Source organism: Homo sapiens, chromosome 5, assembly GCF_000001405.40.
Source record: "Homo sapiens chromosome 5, GRCh38.p14 Primary Assembly".
NCBI classification, from domain to species: Eukaryota; Metazoa; Chordata; class Mammalia; order Primates; family Hominidae; genus Homo; species Homo sapiens.
This window is the reverse complement of record NC_000005.10, coordinates 175,452,087-175,470,720: the sequence shown is the minus strand read 5'-3', so window position 1 is coordinate 175,470,720 and position 18,634 is coordinate 175,452,087. Positions and strand designations below refer to the sequence as shown.

The following is an 18,634-nucleotide window of genomic DNA, read 5'->3' as shown; positions in this document are numbered from 1 at the left end:
GCACTCTTTGGAGAGGAATACCATACTCTGCTTGCTGTTTAGATCCAATCCATGCATTCATCTAACATGTATTTGCTGAGCACCTACTCTGTGCCAGCGCAGGACAGGCACCAATTAGTGAGTGAGACTGAGTCCCTCCTTTTGAGAAGCTTGCGATAAATGAATACATACACATTCCATGGGTGATAAGCAGGATGAAGAATGTGGGATGAGAGGTGAGAGCAAGGCAGGATGGGGGCCTATTTTAGAGGAGATGTGGAGGGAAGACCTCTCTGTAGAGGGGATGTTGGAGCAGAGGCCTGAGTGAAGGAAGAGAGTGAGCCGTGTGGCTATCTGGGGAAGAGCATTCCAGGCAGAGGGAAGAACAAGTGAAATTTGCCTCAGGACTGTCCTAAAGGCAGATTGTAAAGGAAGCTAGTGTGAATTTCTGATAAGGATGTTGACCAGACTGAGACATGGGGAGGCTGAGGGTAAACTAAGTCAGGGCTCCAGCAAGTACATACAGCACCATTGTAGGAATTTCGCAAGGTTACCCTTTCTGGCAGACAAGTTACAGCTGACCTCCTGAGGCTCCTCTCTAAGATTGAAAGAGCCCCAGGCTATGATTGAAAGAGGCCCAGGCAGGCCCAGCTCGTAAGCAGAGTCCCTGGTGAATTCCAGCTTCCTCCTGCTCCCCTGGGCAGGAGCACCTTTGTGCAGTGCACAGGCTGCACAACTGAATGTGGCAGTCCTCACGGAGGGTCATTTGAAACAGACTCATCCAAGTCATAGGCAAATTGCAACACAGAGTAGACATTCTTTTTCTGGTTATTTTGTTATGGATTTGAAAACTCTCACCAAGAACCCTGAAACATTCGTGGAGGGATAATATATCGAGATTTTGGCTGGTTAGCTGATTAACTGATCCAACCCCCAACTCCCTTTGCTATTCCTCTCCTTCCTCATCAAATGGCTGAGCTGTTCTGGGCTAATTTTCTCAATGATAAGCTGCATCAAGGCAGAAAGAAAGGCTCTAGACTCAGAACTCTAGGGTCAATACATCTGAATCCTTAGGGGGATGGAGAAAGTCTGAATGGAGACAAGATGTTTGAAAGAAATCATTCACTTTATTCCCGCCCTCCATTTCTGTTTTCCTGTCCTCTGTAGGCAACAGCTCTAACACGTTACAAAATATCTTTGCAGAATATGTAATGCTTTGGGCCTATGGTTTTAAGTTATAAAAATGGTATTCTTTTGGAGATCCCATTTGCTTTCTCACTTGTCACTCACTTCTGAGTGCTTGGGATCTGTTTATGTTGTTTTGTATAGATCTAGTTTGTTCTTTCTAACTCCTGATAAAATTCCCTGGAGTAGAGCCACCACGTTTTACTTACCTACTACCTAGGATGCATTTTACTTATCTACTACCTAGGATGTGTTGTGGTACTTCTCAGTACCATAAACCCTGCAAAAACTTATTAACGTATATCCAATTATGGTCTTGTTTAATAAGGACTCCAGAAACATATCCAAGGGTGAAATTTCTGTAGATACCTGCCTGTCTAATTTAGATAGCACTGTCAGAGGACTTTCCAGAATGATGTCATTGTATAACTCATCACCAGTGTGCAAAAATGCTCCTGTTTTTTTCATATCTCACCAAGACCTGGTGTTATTCTTCTTTCTAAGTTTTGCCAATCTAATGGGAATAAAGTGCTATATTGTCATTTTAATTTGTATTTCTTTGGTTATTAAAAAATTTGAGAATCTTCTCCTCTACTTATTAGCACTTCTTTATGTTTGTTGCCTTTTTTCCTTTCTTTATATCTTTGTAAGTGTTCCCAGTCTGCCAAAAACATTGCTAATATCTTCCCCCAACCTGTCATCCTCCTGTTAGTTTTGTCTCCAGTGTACTTTTGTTGAACAGATTATCTCGAACATCGGTGTAATTAAATCCATTAATTTGTTTTTCTTTTGTTTTGGCCTTTTGACGTCTTATTAGAGAAGGTCTCCCTCAACACTGGGCTTAAAAGGTTTGCTCTAATGTTTAATGCTTTCGTTGTATAGTTTACACCTCACATTCAGGTCTTTCATTCATCTAGAAGGTAAAATGTAATCTAAAATCTGTCTAGAGTTTGTATGCGGTATGAGAGGTAGGAATTCAGCTTTATTTTTCTTCAAAGAGTGAGCCAGTTTCCCTTGCACTCTCAGCTAAACTGGATCAGGGCGTTTAAGGCATGTCAGGATTTACTGCTCCCACAGAATGGAAATGATTTCATCAGGCTGAAGGAAGAGGAGAGCAGAGGGAAAACGTGGAAAACTCAGATATTAATGTGCTCCACGGAGAAGGAATCTGCATCCTGCTTCCCTGACAGAGCATGGTGATGAGTCTTGGGAGATGGGGACTTCGCTTCATGGAGATTCTTGGGCTCTCAGTGTGGGATATGAAAACAGCTAGCAGATCCAAAGTGTCCCACGGACAGGAATGAGGGATGTGTAAACACAAGTACTGACAGACGGATGAGCAACTATGTAACCAGTGAGCTCTTTGAACTGTCGCAAGATCACAGGGGCCCTCCCACTATGTCCTGGAAATTAGATGTAATCCCTAGAAAATGAGGAGGTAGGTAAACTTCGAATTAACTAAGATAAACATTCAATCACCCCGGTGGAAAGAGGGCTCCAGATAGAGATTTTTTTTTTAGCTCAATTATGGGAGATGCTCATGTTATTGGCTAATAAGTGAAGTTCACACATACATCTTTATGGTTTCAGTTTGTCTTACTACATCAAGCAAGGTGATGCCTGAACTAAACTTGATCAGTTGCAACCATAGGTTGGCTAAGAATCCAAGAGTTTGGCAAAAATCAATGAAAGTATCCTGTGAGAACCAGTTGCCTATATGAAACTTAGAATAAGGAGTATTGTAAAATTTATAATCATTTGTAAATTTTGCTCTACACATCCTTTATGTCAGTATATTTATAATGAATTTGCTTGATAGGTGCAGCAAACCACCACGGCACACATTTACCTATGTAACAAACCTGCACATCCTGCATGTGTACCCCAGAACTAAAAATAAAAATTAAAAAATAAAATAAATTTTCTTTCTATATATACACACCCATATATACAGCATATATATATACACATATAGTATATATGTATATGCATGACAGCAAATCCCCTGAGGTGCCTATATGCATATCCACATATGTGATATATCCACACACATATCCACAGTGTGGACCCCAGCACTCCCCCTTAGTGTTCTGGGTTCCAGAACCAAGAAGCATCTCCTCCAAGATGGGAAAAACGTTGTCCTTAACAGCAATGTTGAACAGTTGAATTATTAAGCAAATCTGGAGTAGCTCTTCCTGGGGAAGAAAATGTTTTCATTGCTTAAGCTAATTAAGTTGGAGTTACTACTTCTTGCAGCGAAAATGTCCTCACTGATACCCTGATTGTGGAATAGTTTGGGGGCTAGTTGTTAAGTAATCGTCTGTCTGCTCCAAACCCAATTTTTTTGTGCAATGCTTTGTGATTCTATGACTCTGTAAGCCACATTTGTGCTTTGCCAGCTGGCTCTAATGCAGACCCAGGGAGGGAGGAAAGACTGAAAGCAGAAGGAGAGACATGTCCCTTCCTGTCTGCATCTTATTCTTGTTGGCATCACTACAGCCTTGCTTCTTCATCCAAGAGCTAGGTTTTTTCCACACACCCTGATTCAGCCCCATTACACCCCTTTAGAGATCCCAGCACCTCTCCTCGGGGTTCTGGGTCCTGGAACCAAAGGGCCTCTCCTCTAAGCTCAGGGCCAGGAGCACCAGCCAAAAAGTGCTCTCTTTTCCCCGAGTCTCTCCGATTTCATAATCCCAGCCTCTCCTCTTCATTCCCCTGGTATTAGGAATGGTAGCTGATTCCTGCAGTTGCTACACTGTGATGGCTTCAGTGTTCTGTCACCTGTTTAAACAATTCTTTAGATTAAATCCTCTGTTAAAATAACTTCTGTATTTTCTGTTTCCTGATGAACTCCCTGACAGACAGAATGTGTTCAATGGACATTCGTTGATTATCTTCCCATATCATTACTCCCCTTCTTCTGCTGAGAGAAGCAGTCACTTGTACCCCAGTTTGTAGCAGCCACTTGGTTGGAGAGCATAGAATCCAGATTTCAGCTCCAGAATGATTTGCTTAATCCTACTAGCATGTTACGTGCCCATAGCTGCAGTTCTTGGCTAAGACAAAAGGCATGTGTTCCAACTGGGGACAGAGAGAGGGCCTTCAGGATGGCATGGGAGGCAGAGAGCTCTGGAGGCCCAAAGGGAGAGGTGGGTGCTGCTGGGAGGGAGTGCAGCACATGGGGCCAGAGGATTATGCTGACATACCCAAGTGCATGGCAGAGAGAGGGAGAGAAATCCAGTGCCTGGCCTCGATGCTGACCTTCTGGAGTCAGTACAATCTCTGGGCTCTTCTGCCATTAGTCTCACCTCTGAATAAATTGGGCCAGATGTTCTGTTATATGGAATCTAAAGAGCCATAACTGATGGCATGAAGATGGGAAACCAGGGTTTATTGAGCACACAGCATATACCCAGCTCTGGGCTGGGCTCTCTTGTGTAAGCTGTGTTGCTGAGCCCTCTTTGTACTGCTGTTTCCATAGTACACATGTGGAAACTGAATCACAGAGAGGTGAAGTATTATACTCAAAGTCACACAGAAAGTAAGTGCAGAGCCTACATATTTTTCTCAGACAACATTTTGTGATGAGGATAACTATAATTCAGGTTTAAGTGGCAGCAAAACTATCTATGCCCTCAGAGAGAACAAGGGGGCATGTATTTAAAGAGGAACACATAGAAAGGGGGTTTTCACATAGAAAGTCTTAGTCATCCTGACAGGATTCTTCTTGTTGACTTTATTGAGGCATAGTTTATATAACACACACTGCACAATTCACGGTAAGTTGTATAGTTCATTGAGTTTTGACCAAGTTATATACATTTGTATATCTGCTATCACAATTGAAATTTAGAATATATCCAGTGTCCAAAAAAGTTTCCCTTGTGTCCCTTTGCAGTCAAGCCCCAATCCCCAACAACCATTAGTCTGCTTTCTGTAACTCTAAATTAGCTTAGCCTTTTCTAGCATGCCCAATCAATGGAATCCCTATAGCATGTCTTTTGTGTCTGTCTTGTTTTGCTTATCACAATGGCTGTGAAATTCCTCCACGTTGCTGCGTGCATCAGTGCATTGTTCCTTTTCATTGTCATGTAGTATTCCATTGTATAAGGAAGCTGGATTTTTCATCCATTGAACAGATAGGATTTTTGAGACCAGCTTCTTGGCAGCCACTGGAGTGGGGATTTTGGCCAAGAGGCTTTGCCAGGCACGGTGGCTCATGCCTGTAATCCCAGCACTTTGGGAAGTCAAGGTGGGAGGATCACTTGAGGCCAGGGGTTTGAGATCATCCTGGGCAACACAGCCAGACCTTGTCTCTATGAAAAGAAAAAAAAAAAAAAAGGAAGAAAAGAAATTAGCCAGGTAAGGTGGTGAGAGCCTGCAGCCTTAGCTACTTAGGAAGCTGAGGTGGGAGGATGGCTTGAGCCCAGGAGTTCAAGGCTGCAGTGAGCCATAATCATGCCACTGCACTCCAGCCTGAGCAATAGAGCAAAACTCTGTCTCTAAAGAAAAAACAAAACAACAGAAAAAGGCGGCTCTGGGGTCTGGATGACTTGGGGAGGTGTGGTCCGAGGTGGTGATGCACTGAACGGTTCTGCTTGTAGCTTCTCCATGCAGAGGTGGCCTCTGAAATTTCTGTTTACCTCAATTCAGTACCTCTGTAGACCATATCAGCTTCCTGCTTTGTCAGATTTTCAGTGCAATCCTGAAAATGACCGCTTGAGGCAGGGTTGCAGAGGAGGACAGAGAGGCTCAGGGAAGGGAGAGCTTGCACACTGTCAGCGTCGTTTTGCAGGGCTACGAGGAGGGTCCAGGTTTTTGTTTCCAGGTGCATGACTCTCCCCCTTACTAATCTCACTGTTGACTTCAACAGCCCCGCTTGCATAGGAAGAAGTCCCTAATGTGACTGAGCTCAGCCTGCAAATCAGCTCTTGACATGGTTGGCTGTTGCGTAATGTGGAAACTTCCTTGAGGAAAAAGGCCTTTGATTTGATTTTGGTGGACAGGTAGGGAGGAAAAAAATCATACACATTCTCTGGATTACATCATAGATAAAAATGGGACTTTTTAAGAGGGCCCTGTATTAAACAAAAATCTGTGAACACCTATTCTGTGTTGTAGCTGAGACACTCGATTTTTCAGTTAATATTTTGCTTTGTTTAAAGATGCTGATGGTTAATTTGCATACAGCTGGAAAAAAGTCTGGTTCTTGCATGGCAATTTCTAGGAGACCTGAGACCCTTTTAACCAACACACTGCCTGCCAGGTGTGTACTTGATTTTTTTAGACATGTTTGCATGCAGCTAAGGCCAAAATGTGTTCAATTCATTTAGGAGAAATGCTGCAGCGCAGTACGCCAGAGCTTGAAAAATGCACTTGGATTTCAATTCAATTTCCCTGCTAAATAGTGCATTTGTGTCCGTATGGCTCAGTGTACTCTAGCCAGTATCGTGAATCTCAAGGCTTTCTATTGCAGACAACAGAGGTCCTTCCTCCTAGAGTAAACAGAAAGTAATTTGTTAAAGGATATTGGATAGTTTGCAAAACTCTGGAGTGTTTAAAGAACCAGGCACAGCACAGTTGGGAGAATCAGTCAGTCATATCAAGGGTTGTTCTAGCAAAAACAATGCAGCTGTTAACCACCTGCCACTCGGCACCTGTAGGTCTAGGGACTAAGCCACAGAGCTGTCCAGGTGAGCCTCTTATCTGCCACAGTCCTACCTTTCACTTCTGACAGTCATGACCAAGTCTAGTGGTACATCAGACAGGCCTAAACCAGGTCACGCACCTGTACCCACACTGCAAAGGAATCTGAGACTTTGCTTTTTAGCTCTTCATCCCCTATTGTGCTGTGAGGCAAGCTTCGAGGGCACTGGAATGGGTGCTGAGGGAGCCAGCTTTTTCAGTCTCTGCCACAAGTACTCACCATAATTCAGCAGAGACCATGATGTTAGAGGAGCAGAGCCAGAGTCTATGTTGTCCCATTCAAGGCAATGTTTCAAAGTTTGATTTTTGAACCTCCGTTTCCTAATTTGAGAAATATGGTTAGAAATTGTACATTACAGAGCATGCTGAGCGGCTTGGATCTCCCTTCAAATAAGAACTTGCTGTTTCACTGTGAGGAGTGAATTTAGCTGACAGCTTCTAGCTGTCAGAGCCTTCAGGGTCCACCTTCACTTTTGAGCAGAGGCCACACTGTTTCTAGTTCCCGCCAGCCAACGACCAAGCATGGTGGGAACACTAGGGCCTATTTCTGCCAATGCATGATGCTTGTGATGGGAAATCTTTGCTCTGAAGATCCCTATTGGGTTGGGGTGGCTGAATCTTCTGTCACATCTGCTTCGCAGTCTTTTCCCTGCCTAATCCTGCTTCCTCTCCTTTTTATCATCCACAGATATTACCCCTAATAAACTTCTTATATTCTTAATTCTGTCTCAGTGTCTGCATCCCAGGGGACCCAACTGATACATGGGACTTTGGTGAAGATGAAATGAGGCAATAATCCATGAAAGCATTGAACAGAGTGCATGATACACAATTTTGAGAATTTCCTCTTTAATTCCTCCCTTTCCATTATAACCTATGTCTAATCCAATAGAAACTTCCATTATTTCCACCTTCAAAAATGTACCTTGAGGCCAGGTGTGGTGGCTCACACCTGTAATCTCAGCACTTTGGGAGGCCAAGGTGGACAGATCACTTGAGGTCAGGAGTTCGAGACCAGCCTGGCCAATAAGGTGAAACCCTGTCTCTACTAAAAATACAAAAAATTAGCGGGGCGTGGTGGCATGCACCTGTAATCCCAGCTACTGGGGAGGCTGAAGCAGGAGAATTTTTTGAACTGGGGAGGTGGAGGTTCCAATGAGCTGAGATAGAGCCACTGCACTCCAGCCTGGGCAACAGAGCAAAACTCTGTCTCAAAAAAAAAAACAAAACAAAAAACAAAACAAAACCTTGAATTCATCTACTTTTTGACGACCTCCAGTGCTAAGACCCCAGTCCAAGGCACCATTGTTTCTAGCCTTGTGTTAGTTTGCTAGGGTGACATAGCAAAGTACCATGAACTGGGTGAATTAAGCAACAGAAATTTATTGTCTTGCAGTTCTGGAGGCTGAAAGCCCAAGTTCAGAGTGTCGGCAGGGTTGGTTCTTTCTTGGGGCTGTGAGAGAGGATCTGTTCCATGCCCTTGGCTCTGCTGCTGGTGGTTTGCTGATAATTGTTGGTATGCTGTGGCTTGTGCGAGCACCACCCCAATATCTGCCTCCATCGCATGGCATTCTCCTTGTGTGTCTGTGTGCAGCCAAATTTCCTCTTTGTCACTTATTTTATTTTTTTTGGGACAGAATCTCGCTCTGTCGCCAAGCTGGAGTGCAGTGGCATGATCGTGGTTCACTGCAACCTCCTTCTCCTGGGTTCAAGTGATTCGCCTGCCTCAGGCTCCCGAGTAGCTGGGACTACAGGCACGTGCCACCATGCCCAGTTAATTTTTGTATTTTTAGTAGAGATGGGATTTCACCATGTCGGCCCAGATAGTCTCAGTCTTTTGACCTCGTGATCTGCCCGCCTCGGCCTCTCAAAATGCTGAGATTACAGGCATGAGCCACCACGCCTGGCCCCAAATTTTCTTTTTTTTTTTTTTTTTTTATAAGGATACCAGTTATGTAGATTAAGGAACCACCTTCCTCTAGTGTGACTTCATCTAAACTTAATTACACATGCAACCATCCTATTTCCATAGAAGGCCACATTCTGAGCTACTGGGGGTTAGTATTCAGCATGTGATTTACTGGGGAACACCATTCGGCCCTTAACAGGCCTGAACAAAGCCTCCTACTTGGTTTCCCTGCTTCCTCTACTACCCAGCATTGAGGACAATCTTACATGCTTGAATCTGACCACATCGTTCCACCGCTTGGCTCCCTGGGTGTCCTCCTGTCACACATGGAATGCCGCCCAACCTCCTCACGTGGCTGGCGAGGCCCTTGTGCTCAGGCGTGGACATATCTCTGGCTTCATCCCTCACCACTCTCGTCAGCTCGGTAACTCGGGCCTCCTTTCCTCAAGTGTGCTGAGTTCTTTCCCACCCCGCGGCTTGTGCGCTGGCTGTTTTGCACTGTCTGGAAATCTCTCCCCTCCTGGCTCTTTCACAGATAGAATCCTTCCCTTTATTCAGGTCTCAGCTCAAACGTCACTTCTTCCAAGAGGTCTTCACTCACCCCCAAGTTAAGAAGGCTCATCCATCGGGATAGGTTAAATTATGTTGTGCTAGCAAATGACCCTCGAATCTCAGTGACTTACAACAATAACAATTCTTTTTTGTTTTGTTTTGTCTTTGAGACAGAGTCTCGCTCAGTCGCCCAGGCTGGAGTGCAGTGGCGCGATCTCGGCCACTCCCGGGTTCAAGCAATTCTCATGCCCCAGCCTCCCAGGTAGCTGGAATTACAGTCGTGTCCCACCACGCCCAGCTAACTTTTGGATTTTAGTAGAGACGGGGTTTTGCCATGTTGGCCAGGCTGGTCTCAAACTCCTGGCCTCGAGTGATCCACCCACCTGGGCCTCCCAAAGTGGTGGAATTACAGGCATGAGCCACTGTGCCTGGTCCAACAATGACAATTCTATCGAGGGCCAGCTGCAGCTCCTGTTCACAAAGACTTCACTCTGGGACACAGGCTGATGAACAGCCTTCACTGGGACATTGCTGGACTTAGGGCGGAGTGGAGAAAGTTGGTGAGCCTTAAGCATAAAAACCAGGCTTCTTCCTGGCAATAATACACTTCTCTCCAGCCTTGGCTAAATCAGGTCACATGGACACTCCCCAGTTCCCCAGGGTGGGGACCTATAATAGTCCCATAGAGTACAAAGCATGTGTTCCTTAGGGATGTATAAAGTCCCATAGCTAAGCCTGAAGTCAATGAGCTGGGCAAGTAGAATATTCTCCCAAGGAAAGGCAGCAAATATTATGAACAATAATTTACCAAAAAGGTCACCCCCAGTCTGTATTTTCTCTTAATGCTTCCTATTGTTTGCTTTCTTTCATAGCAATTATTACAATTATAAATTGTAAATAAGTCCACGGTGATTTAGGAGCAGTGTGTGTACTGTGTGTGTATAAATACGTCATCGGATAAATGAATACGTAAACTTGAAAGATCATGGAACAAGGCCAGACTTTGGAATCAGATAGAATCAAGTATGAATCTCAGCTTTGCCTCTTCTTAGTATATGACCTCAGGCTAGTTAACAAGTATTTCAGTGCTGTAGTTTCTTCGTATTCAAAACAAGGATGATAAAACTTTCATCACAGTTGGCCCATAGAGGGCACCAACAAAACATTAGTTTCCTTCTCACTGTGTTGGTTTTGTAGCCATCATTATTTTTTAGGCGTGTGTGTTCACTGCGACATATATGAGCAATAACATGACATTGATTATGTTGCAGCAAATATAGAAGAACATTTTTTTTTTAAAAATTGTACTTTAAGTTCTGGGATACGTGTGCAGAACGTGCAGGTGTGTTACATAGGTATACATGTGCCATGGTGGTTTGCTGCACCTATCAACCCGTCATCTAGGTTTTAAGCCCCACATGCATTAGGTATTTGTTCTAATACTCTCCCTCCCCTTCCCCCTCGACCCCCTGACAGGCCCCTGTGTGTGATGTTCCCCTCCCTGTGTCCATGTGTTCTCATTAGAACAACATTTTTATACTGGCTTTGATTCAGAAATCCCTCCATTTGAGATTGGCTGTGTTTTGCAGTAATTTAACCCAATTAATTAAATTGTAGATTTATACATTAATTAAAGTAAATTTAATTTAATTTCATGATCTCTTGCTCTGCCACTGAGTCTCATATGCTCTAGTGAATGTGTTCAATTTGGCTTTAAAAAATGACATCTGTTGATCTATTGACTGCCTTGTTTCAATTTGCAAATTTGCTTTTCATGCCATAAGTAGTTTAAAAAATATATTTTTTAAGTAATAATAATGAGTCTTAGTCTCAAATCAATCTATGTGATTTGGAGAGTTATCTCTGGCTCTTTAGCATTTGATCCAAGAGCTACTCCGATATACAGAACATCCCAGCCACGCTTTCTCCAATGGATAGAGATTATGGTCTTTGAAGTTAGACAGGGCTGGGCAAGACACTGGCTCCATCATCTTATTCATTCTGAGACTTTGGGAAAATCCCCTCCCCTCTTGGAGCCTCCGTTTTCTCTTGGGTAAGATGAAGATGATGTCTGCACAAGCTCCTCACCCAGACAGGATGAGTGAAGACTATCACATCATGCCCAGGAATCAGGACTGGTGCAATTGGTAGCTTTTACTGGCCCATGAGCTGTGGTACCTGCCACTACAGGAATGAAAATAGGAAAGAATATTAGACAGAAACCAAAATAAAAACATGAATGTACTGCCAAATAAATCTTCATTCTGGAGGGCTTAGGATGACCCTGGAACGAGGTGGCAGCAGGGTGCATAAGGGGTGGCAAGCAAACGGCAGGTATTCTTTTTTCCATAGAACAATTTGGGGATGGCTCTCTGGTAGGCAGATAGCTGCAGCCACTTTATGTAGAATGCTGGCATTTCAGGGAATGCTCTTTGGCAAAAGGAAGCCTACCCTGGGTGACTTCGTCCGAAAGAGGACTTGATGGTAAACATAACGGGGCACTCACAGGCTAGAAAAGAGCGCCGAACCTTCAGGTCTGCCATGGAGGGGTCAGGGAAGCACCGGGGGCTTCAACAGCACACAATGACAGAGCAACACTCTGGAGGCTGTTGCCTGATGGCTCAGCTCTGACCTCCTTTTCTTTTTATTGTGATAAAATAATATAAAATTGACAATTTTCACTCTGTTTAAGGGTATGGATCAGTGGCATTGACTACCATTGCATTGTTGTGAAACCATCACCACCATCTATCCACAGAACTCTTTATATTTTGCAAAACTGAAACTCTGTAATTGTTAAAATAAAGACTTCAGATAAATTAAATTTAACAGAGTTTAATTGAACAAAGAAAGATTCATGAATTGGGCAGTCTCCTAAACCAGAATAGGTTCAGAGAGACCCCGTTGCTGCAGCATGGTCAAAGATCGCTGGACAGAAAAAGGAAAGTAATGTACAGAAACTGGAAGTGAGGTGCAGAAACTACTGTATTGGCTACAGCTCAATGTTTGCCGTATTTAAACAGGGTCTGGTCACCTTTGATTTGCAGAAACTCAGTGACTGGTACAAGAGTAGGTTACAATCTGTTCATACATCCAGTTAGGAGACAGTTCACCATGTATGGAGGGATCTTTAGGCTAAACTTAAAATATGTAAGCAGTCAGCTTTAGGCTAAGCTTAATTTAACACCACAAATTAGACAATGACTCCCCCTCTGCCCAGCCCCCACAACCACTATTCTGTTTCTATGAATTTGACTATGGACCCCCTATGAGGGGAATCACACAGAGTTTGTTATTTTTGTGACTGGCTTATCTTACTTAGCGTAATGTCTTCAAAGTTCATCCACATTATGGCATGGGTCAGAATTTTCTTCCTTTTTAAGGCTGAATAATATTTAATTGTATGTATATACCACATTTTGTTTACTCATTCATGGACAAGTAAACAAATTAATTGACTCATTCCATCAGTGGACATTTGAGCTGATTAACCTTTTGGCTATTGTTAAAAACAATTAATTTGGAGTCCATTTGGCTGAGAACCCAGCACCTTGGATTCCTACATAAGCAAACTGAAACCCCATTCAGTGTGAGTGACCATAGCCTGGGAAAATGAAACCCCAGCTTAACCATTCAGAAACTGCTAACTAACCTCTCACTACAGAATTTACCAATCAGAAACCTCCAGCTGACCTCTAACTGGAGACTTCCTGCCTTAGCCAATCAAATATTTTCTTTGTCTTGCTTTCATGATCACCTTTTAACAATTTTCCCCTCACACCCTCTTGGTGGAGCCCAAACTACTTGCAGTTTGGTGCTACCAGATTCATGAATCATTGTCTGCTCACATAAATGCTTTAAAATGTTAACATGCCCACGGTGATCTTTTCACACTACTGTAAATGATGCTGTTGCAAACATAGGTGTACAAATAACTCTTTGAGTTCCAGCCTTCAATTCCTTTGGGTATGCACCTAGAAACAAAATTGCTGGATCATATGGTAATTCTATTTTTAAGTTTTTGAGGAACTTCTGTGCTGCTTTCCATAGTAGCTGCACCATTTTACATTTCCACCAGCAATGCGCAAGAGTTCCTTCCAATCCCTCTACATCCTCACCAACACCTGCTATTCTCTGCTTGTTTGATAGTAGCCATCCTAATGGGTGTGAGGTGGGATCTCACTGTGGTTTTGGTTTCCATTTCCCTAATGATTAGTGATGCTGAACATCTCTTCCTGGGCTCATTGGCCATTTGTATAACTTATTTGGAGAAATGTCTATTGAAGTCCTTTGCCTAGTTTTTAATTGTTGTTGTTGAGTTATAGGAGTCCTTTACATATTATGAATATTAATTTTTTATTAGGAATTTGATTTACAAACATTTTCTCGCATTCTATAGGTTGTCTTTTTTTCTTTTCTTTTTTTTTTTTTTTTGAGACGGAGTCTTGCTCTGTAGTGCAGTGGCGCGATCTCGGCTCGCTGCAAGCTCCGCCTCCTGGGTTCACGCCATTCTCCCGCCTCAGCCTCTCTAGTAGCTGGGACTACAGGTGCCCGCCACCACGCCCGGCTCATTTTGTTTTTGTATTTTTAAGGTTTCACCGTGTTAGCCAGGATGGTCTCGATCTCCTGACTTCATGATCCACCTGCCTCGGCTTCCCAAAGTGTTGGGATTACAGGCGTGAGCCCCACGCGCCCGGCCTATAGGTTGTCTTTTTACTCTGTTTACAGTGCCTTTTGATGTGCAAAATTCTTCATTTTGGAGTCCAATTTCCGTCTTTTTTCTTTTGTCGCCTGTGCTTTTAGTGTCATAAAGAAGAAATCACTGCCAAATCCAATGCCATGAAGCTTTCTCCTTATGTTTTATAATTTTAACTTTTCCGTTTAGCTCTTTAGTCTATTTTAAGCTAGTTTTTGTAGATACTGTGAGATAAGGGTATGACTTCATTCTTCGGCAAGTAGATATCCAGTTCTCCCAGCAACATTTGTTGAAAAGACAGCTCTGTCCTTTTGTCCTTCTGTCTCCATGGAAATTTCAGATGCCTGAGAGAGAGTCTGAACAGAGTACTGTGGGTCTTGTGCCTGTCCCACGTGGTCAGGGGAGTTGAGGCCCATGATGGGCAGCCTGTGAGGACCACGTGGTCTGGGAGAGACCAATCCAATTGTTGTTTTTTGTCAGGTGAACAAAAAAAGAGGTGCCCTCTGCAGCCAGGGACAGAGTGTCAGCATGAACCATCATTGTTTGAAGATGGGAAATCTGCCAGGTTCATCAGTTCATTTGCCTCTGTAACACGAGAGAAGACACAAACAAGATTGGATTCTGAGTCTCCTATTTCTGGCAAAGTAAAATGTCAGTTTATAAACCTTCCGAAAATGATAGATGCTGATTTGAATACCATTTCCTGTGATGGTCAATCAGCATGAAAGACCTTGAGAGATTCAAGGTACATTATTTACAGACAACCTCTTAAGGCCCCTTTTGTGGTTTCTAATCAGGGAATGGAGGTTTTTTTTTTGTTTTTTTTTTTTTTTAATTTTTAGTTCAACTGTTTTTGGGGAACAGGTGGTGTTTGGTTACATGGATAAATTCTTTAGTGGTGATTTCTGAGATTTTGGGGGATTCATCACCTGAGCAGTGTACACTCTACCCAATATGTAGTCTTTTATCCTTCATCCCCCTTCTAAACTTCGCCCCAGAGTTTTATTCTTGAGATGTTTCCTACTTCCAATTTTATCATTTTTTTTTTTCCTAAAAGGCTGTACTGTTCAGGATTTCATCTACAGGTGAAGCCGCACCAGCTTTTTTCCTTCCTTTACCTACATTTAGGAGGACCTTCTTCAGCAAGATTGCACACAGAATTTCTTCCAATAAGGCAAGACCTAAAGAAATCTAAGACCTAGTAAAAGTTTATATAACGAAGCAATAGATTTTAAAGTAAGGGGCAAATAGGGTATAATATTTGCTACCATATCCGGTTGCCTCAGGTAGAAATAGAAGAGTCAATTAGAGGTGCTGCTCCTCTGATTTTACAGAGTTTCTCTGAAAGCTGGAGACACATAGCCCATGACCTAACAACTCAGGTCCATGGTGTATGCCTTGGGGAGGCTGGGATGTTGATGCGGATGCTGGTTGAGGTAACCCATACAAGAGACATTGAGACCTGGATTAGAACACTGGGTATTAAAATTAGGTGAAAGGAGCAGATGTCTCCCCGAATCCCAGAAGAACGAGCAAGAGTGTATGATTCTGAACGTGGTGTAGGCAGGGGAAGCATTACACAATGCTTATATGTAATGTATTTTTAGTAGAGACGGGGTTTCACCGTGTTAGCCAGGATGCTCTCAATCTCCTGACCTCATGATCCTCAGCCTCCCAAAGTGCTGGGATTACAGGCGTGAGCCACTGCTCCTGACCTATAGGTTGTCTTTTTACTCTGTTTACAGTGCCATTTGATGTGCAAAAGTTCATTTTGAAGTCCAATTGTTGTCGTGTATGGAGAAGATGGAGTGTTTTTCACCAACGGAGGAATTACAAGAGGAGCAGCGAGTTTTGGAGGAAGATGATAGGTTTGATAAAAAACACAAGTAAAATCTGGGGGAGCTGTTGAGTGGACAGATGATATAATAGAAAAATTCCAGAGAGGTGGAGGGCTGGAGATTGGGGTCACAGTGTCTTGTGGGTGGCATGGAGAGGAAGCCTTTACCCAAGGTACCCAGGATTCTGTCTGTGAGGTTGCTGGTCATTCTCCGGGACCTCCTCAAAGTTTTCCATCTCTTCCAAATTAAAGCTGTCAGAGGTGTTGAACCAGAGCAACTCCATCTTGAATAGGAGCTGCGTAAAATGAGGCTGAGACCTGTTGGGCTGCATTCCAAGATGGTTAGGGCATTCTAAGTCACAGGATGAGACAGGAGGTTAGCACAAGATACAGGTCATAAAGACCTTGCTGATAAAACAGGCTGCAGTAAAAAAGCCAGCCAAAACCCACCAAAACCAAGATGGCGACGAGAGTGACCTCTGGTCGTCCTCACTACTACACTCCCACCAGCCTCATGACAGTTTACAAATGCCATGACAATGTCAGGAAGTTGCCCTATATGGTCTAAAGAGGAGAGGCCTGAATAATCCACCCCTTGTTTAGCATATAATCAATAAATAGTCATAAAAATGGGCAACCAGCAGCCCTCGGGGCTGCTCTGTCTACGGAGTAGCCATTATTTATTCCTTTACTTTCCTAATAAATTTGCTTTCGCTTTACTCTATGGACTCACCCTGAATTCTTTCTTGCACAAGATCCAAGAACCCTCTTGGTGTCTAGATTGAGTCTCCTTTCCAGTAACAAAACTACTAAAATATGTGGACTTCTTCCAGTTTCTCTACTTCATGAGCATAACAAGGTCTCTCGGGTATCCTTGAGACTCTATAAATCTCTGGATAAAAGTACATTGACCTCAAAAGTGCTCTGATTTTAAAAGGACCCTCTTTCTCCCCTCCCCACACACTCCCACCTGAGTCTTTGCATACATTGTTCCTTCTGCGAACATGCTTTTCCCTCCTTCTTCGTCTAAGCATGTCCTATGAGATCTTTCTTTAAGATCAGATTCAGTGTTGCATCCTCCGTAAAGTCTCTTTTGGTGCTCTATCCACCCTCCCAAAGCTGGGATGGGCACCTCCATTAGCTGTATTTCTGGAGGTACAGCTAATCAGGCCAATCTCAGTGTCCAAAATTGGGCGATTTGGTGTCTGCTAGCTCTGATGATTCCAGGTAAGATAGCAGGGGATTGCCCACTAGAAGCAGGTAATACACTTCATTTATTTAATCTATTAAATATGTTTATTATAGGGAATGAAGTTTGTAAATGAAGTAAATTATGGGGGAAGATACATCATTATATAGATGATGTAGGGTCATCAGTCATCTGCTAATTGGGAAAAAACCTGAGGTTCCTTGTGTTTAATTCTTCTCTTCGCTGGCCAGGCAAGCCAAAACTGTGGCTCCAGCTGTGTTAAATCCAAATAAGACATAAAACGTGTTTCCCTCCCTATTCCTTCTCCTCTCCTTTCTCCTTCTGCCCTTTTCCCTCCTCCTCTTTCCCTCTTCCCCTCTCTCTCTTTCTCCTCTCCCTCCTCCTCCTCTTCCTTCTTCTCTTCCTCTTCTTCTTCAGCTGATCAGATAGAGCTCTCTGATTGTAAGTCACAGAAATGTACCATGGCTAACCTAATCAAATGGAAATTCACTGGAAAGGTAACACTGAGTGGAGGGGAGGCTGTAGAGCCAGGCTTGGGAAAGGACAAGGAACAAAGCACCCAGGGCTTCTGGAAGCAAGAGTTCCATGAATAGTCTCACAGCAGAATCAGTCTGGTCAGAGGGATGCTGATGAGGCTGATGCTGTTTCATTCATATGTGTTCAATTTCTCTGTCCTTCTGCTGAAGATACAAATCTCAGGGAGGAAGCATCTGGTCAACCTGTCTCAGGTTATGTGTCTACTCCCTTAGCTAGGGAGGGGCAGGCCCTATCAGACCAACAGAATGTATTCAATAAAGAACACGCCATTCCCCCAAAATAATCTGGGATGTTTTCTTCAGAGAAGGTGAAATGGATGCTGGGCTGGAAAAGACCAGTGAATGTACACTTTACATACAGCCTTTGCCAAGACAAAATGCAATGCAAGGGAAGGTTTCCTGATCTGTGCTTATATACTTGATACTTTGGTCGGGATTTCATGTAAGCTTCTTGGCAGCTGTATTTGCATTTTCAGGGGTGGGAAATAAGGAGGGCATGTAGGTGAAGAAACTTGACCAAGGCCCCACAGCTTGATAGTAATGGAGCCAAGATTCAAACCCAGGTCTGTCTGACCCACTGTTCCTACCACTGCAGCCCCAGGCTCATCTCCTGAATTGGGATACCTGAAGCTGGGGGTGAGAGTGACCAGTGCTTGTGTTCTAGGGAGGGGAAGTAATTAAATCATTGCAGAGGCAGGCTGAGAGGAAAGCCCTTTGTGAATTGAAGGATACTCTCTGGGCTCCTCCAGTGATATATAATCTCATGGGCCGAGCAGACAAATTAGCAGCTTTCATTTCTTCGCAAAGCATTGATTTCCAGCCTCAAGAGCCCACTTCAGCATTTTTCACTGCAGAGACTCTCCCCTGGGCTTCATTCATGTTTTCTATAAATGGCCTAAAGAAGACTCTCTAAGGTGACTTAAATAGATTCTATGTTTACACAGGATAAACAATTTTTGTGGATTAGCCTGTCTTTCATCTCAGCTTAGGTTATGACTTTGCTAGCAAGTGCATTTTTCTTTTT

At 43.4% G+C, this 18,634-nt stretch overlaps 1 annotated feature.

Moving 5' to 3' along the window:
* Positions 5,619-5,708: an enhancer, noted in NCBI's record as "active region_23676". NCBI's record gives its function as "activates an Ori minimal core promoter by ATAC-STARR-seq in GM12878 lymphoblastoid cells {active_cell/tissue: GM12878}" and the evidence as "EXISTENCE:reporter gene assay evidence [ECO:0000049][PMID:35858748]".